The sequence below is a fragment of the Homo sapiens genome, chromosome 20, assembly GCF_000001405.40.
Source record: "Homo sapiens chromosome 20, GRCh38.p14 Primary Assembly".
Lineage (NCBI taxonomy): Eukaryota > Metazoa > Chordata > Mammalia > Primates > Hominidae > Homo > Homo sapiens.
The window spans coordinates 57,952,161-57,956,309 of NC_000020.11; the positions used below are offsets into that span (position 1 = coordinate 57,952,161).

The 4,149-nt window shown below is 49.3% G+C and overlaps 1 annotated feature.

Moving 5' to 3' along the window:
- Positions 759-1,259: an enhancer, noted in NCBI's record as "H3K4me1 hESC enhancer chr20:56527975-56528475 (GRCh37/hg19 assembly coordinates)". NCBI's record gives its function as "activates a minimal SCP1, AML or CMV promoter by ChIP-STARR-seq in naive H9 embryonic stem cells {active_cell/tissue: H9 hESC(naive)}" and the evidence as "EXISTENCE:reporter gene assay evidence [ECO:0000049][PMID:30033119]".

The window sequence follows — 4,149 nt, forward strand, 5'->3', positions numbered from 1 at the left end:
AAGCAATTTGTCCAAGATCACACACTAGTGAAGGGAAGAGCTGAGGTTTAAGTCCAGTCTGTCTGTCCATCCACCCATTCACACACCCATCTATTTATCCATTCATCCACCCACCGATCCATCCATCAATCCATTATTCATCTATCCATCCATCCAATCATCTATCCATTCAACCACCCACCCACTCACCCCCATTTATCCACCCATGCATCCACCCATGCATCCATCCATCCATCCACCCATCTATTCATCCATCCATCCATTTATCATCAGCTCCATGAGGACAGGAATTGTGATGTTCCTTTCACCACTCTAACTCCAAAGTCTAGCACACTTGTAAATATTTACAGGATTATAGGACAAACCCTGATCTGTGTTCTGCCATAATTCTCCCCAGGAGAATCCTCTTGGAGTCACCAGGGGTGAAGGAGAGGGGGCCTTCGCTGTCTTTACCCTCTCGTGCTGGTCAAAGTGGCCTCCAGCTGAGCATCTTAGCAGCCCTAGAGCCAGCACATCCTCTCCATGTGCTGCGTTGGGGAACCCCTTGCAGCAAGAGTTGACAAGAATGGGGTGAGGGTAGAGAGATGAGCAGAGAAAAGGAACTTAGTGTTGCAGCTCTGTGCACGTAAGGGCTGGTGCAGTTGGCAAAATATAAACAAGACAGAGGACAGGCTTAGGAAACGCATGGCCAAGGGCATCATACAGGGAAACTGGGTGAGGCTCCATGCTTCCAGGCCCACAGCCCCGGGCCTTATATCAGCAGAAGCCCCACCCTTGTTAAACCTGAGGGGCCTTGGAAGAGCCCACAGCCAGTCTGTCTGGGCACTTGCCGCAGAACCCACACCTGTCTGGGCTCCCCTGCTGGGGACAGTGATGTTAAACAGTGGCCTCTGATGAGCACAGTGTTCCTGTTGATGGCCCTGCCTCTGATATCTTTGAGGGGCTGGGACAGGGCTGGCTCCGAAGTAGAGACAAAGAGAAGAGCCTTCCCCCAACTCTGCATTCCTGAGCCCCAAAGCAGCAGGAAGAGTCTCCTCCATTTCCTCCCCAAGACAAAACCACAGCCCACGTGCACGGGAACGGAGACACCCAAGGAGGAGACTGTGCCCTGTGATGGAGAAGAGCTAGGTGTCCACATTACATTCTGCACAGACAGTGATGGAGCCTGCTCCAAGGTACAGGCTCTTTCAATCCTCTCCTTAAAACCAGATCCGTGGACCCTGCACCCATGGTTATCCGTGTCAGAGTCGGGGCCAGCCCTTAAACGCATCTGGATGGAAGAGCCATGACCAAGGAGCCAGGCGGATCTGGTCTCAGTCATGTTCCAAGCCCTGGGACCCTGGTCCAACTGCTGAAGCTCCCTGTGCCCCATTTTGTCCGTCTGTGAAACGGGGATGCTTTTGGCACCTAATTCATGCGGCTGTTGTGTGTACATGATACTGCGGCCTACATGCCCGGCACAGCACCTGCCCCTAGCAAGTGTTCTGTAGACATTAGCCATGTTATTTTTAATGAGAATACTCTTGGCCTTAAACTGTAATTTTTATACCCGATTCCCCCTTAAGAGAGTCTCTTTCAGCCCCAGCTGAGACGGAAATGAGGAAATGAACCTGACATCCACTCTATACATCCCTTTGATGAGAGTCACCCTTCAGGAGGAGAGACCTCATTGAAATGTAATTTTTTTCCCATTAATCATCCGCCCAGACAGCTCTCAGTTCTCCAATTCTCTTAAGCAAATAACAACGAAAAAAGAAATCTTTTCTTCAACCTCTAAGTGCAGATTTCTATAATAAAAAGCATGGCATTGAAGCAGTTATCTCCTCTCATCTGGTTTTCCCTTTCATAACTCACAAAGGTTTCTCTCTCTCTCTCTCTCTCTCTCTCCCCCCGCAACCCCATCTCTCTCTCTCCCCTTGTCCTCGCCATCTTCCTTTCTTTGAGGCCAGATGCACGCATGGAAGAGATAGCATCATCGTAGGCCACGACAGGTCTCCATGGAGTCCAACTTTGAAAAGCCAAGCAACCCTGGCTTGGCCCCAACCCATACAATTTCCCCGGGTGCTTACTCCATGAACTCCTGATTCCTCAGCCTCTTAAAGTGGGGATAATAACACTAACAGCTCAGGCTTTCTGATGGTTGGGGACTGCCATTGTTGAATGCATAGATTCAACAAATATTGACTGGATGTCTACTGGGTGCTAGGACCAAGGGATCTAGCCATGGGCAAGATGCAGTGGGAGGCTTCTTGGCACTTTCTTTCTAGGACCAGTCCTGGAGGAGGCATTCTTGAAATGGAAATTGCAGAGTAGGGATCCCCAAGACATCTGTGACTGATTAAAAATTTGGGGTCCCCAACCCTATCCTCAGGCTTAATAATTTGCTTAAAGGACTCACAGAACTCACTGAAAGCCACTGTACTCCATCACAGCTTGTTACACAACATAATACAGATTAAAATTGGTCATTGGAAGAGACACATGGAGCAGAGCCCAGGGAAGTTCCAAGCATAAAAATTCTAGTTGTCCTCTCCTAAGTCCCAGACAGCACTCACTTTTCCTGGCAATGATGTATGACCACACATATGGAGATATGCCAGCCAGAGAAGCTCATGTGAGCCTCCATACCCAGAGTTTTTATTGGGGTTCAGGCACATAGACATGGATGACGCCTATGTGACTGGCCTTTGGCCTCCAGTCCCTCCAGAAGTCAAGTTGGTACTGGGTGACCCAAGACCCCCACCATAAATCATACTGTAGACATAGACTATCTTGTGTGACCTAAGATCCCCCAGGTAAACAAAGACACTTTCATCAGACAGGACATTCCAAGGGCTTAGAGGCCACCTCCCAGGAGCCAGGGACAAAGGCCAAACCCTCTCTGGACAGTGTTAATTTTTCACTGCCTGTAAGTTTAGCTGCAAAATCACTCAAGATGTGAACTTCACTCTGATCTGTGTCTTCCTCTTCCAGCCAATATAGCGCTACTGACACAGGCATGCAAAGATCACACACAAAGAAAAGCGAAGGAAAACCATGCAAATGCTCAGCAAATAGGGACATTTAAACAGAGCAAGGTGCATCCATGCTGAGGGATACAGAGCAACGGACAAAATGATGAGGCACCGCTGTATGGTAGCTCTGTATCATAGAAAGAAATGCTGTTGGTGAAAAAGTCCATTGCAGAACAGTTGCTATTGAGTAACCACTTGGCCCTGGGCAATTTATTTAACCCCTTGAGCCTCTTCAATTTCCTTATCTCTAAAATGGGGCAATGCTTTGATCTCCTACCCAGGTCTGCGGTGAGGAGTAAATGGAGCCACGTCTAAGAAGCAGCTGGCACACTTGGGGCTGAGCCTGGACCAGCTCTTAGTACCATGACTTCACTCTCAAGTCATTGGGGTGAGGCTGCAGGGCACAGGGAGACTCTTCTGAGGGGCTCTTCTTGGAGACATTTGTTACCAGGCAGCAGCCTTGACCACTCAGACATTCATTATTCATTTGATAGACTGATCAATTTGTTCATTTCTCCATAATAAAGCCCTGTACTAGGTGTTGGCTTTTGAGGAGTAATGAAGCCACACAAAGTCTTTACCTTCAAGGAGTAGCCAGTCCAGGGTGGAAGACAGACTGCAAACTTAGCCAAGAAGTGGGGTGCAGCAGCCCAAACTCACATAGCTAGTCCCGAATGCCCTGCTCACAAATGAGACAGATGCAAAGTAGACGTTCCACCAATGCTGTGTTGAAGCGAGGTGGGCTGAGCGGATGGGGCAGGGGCCACCATTGTGTCTCTGGCCAAAAGGGCTGCATGTGAAGTGGCCTAGACGTCTGGTCATGAGAGAGATCAAAACTTCAAGGACGGGAGAAGAGTCAGGGTGGTTGGAGCAGAAAGTCCACGAGAAAGCGAGTGGAAAGAGGTGGTCGACAGGGGCCCAAGGGACGGGGCTTTGAGGGCCAAAGTGAGGAGGGGGACTTTACCCCAAAGGTGATGGAGAGCCTGTGAAGGGTTTTAATCCAGGGGCAGCACGTTGGATCCATGTCTGCAAAAGATGCTCTTGCTCACGGAGCAAGGAAAGACAATGGGTGAGAGAGGAAGCAGGAATCTTGGTTAGAAAGCACCTGCCATCATCCAGGCCCAAGAGGCAATTT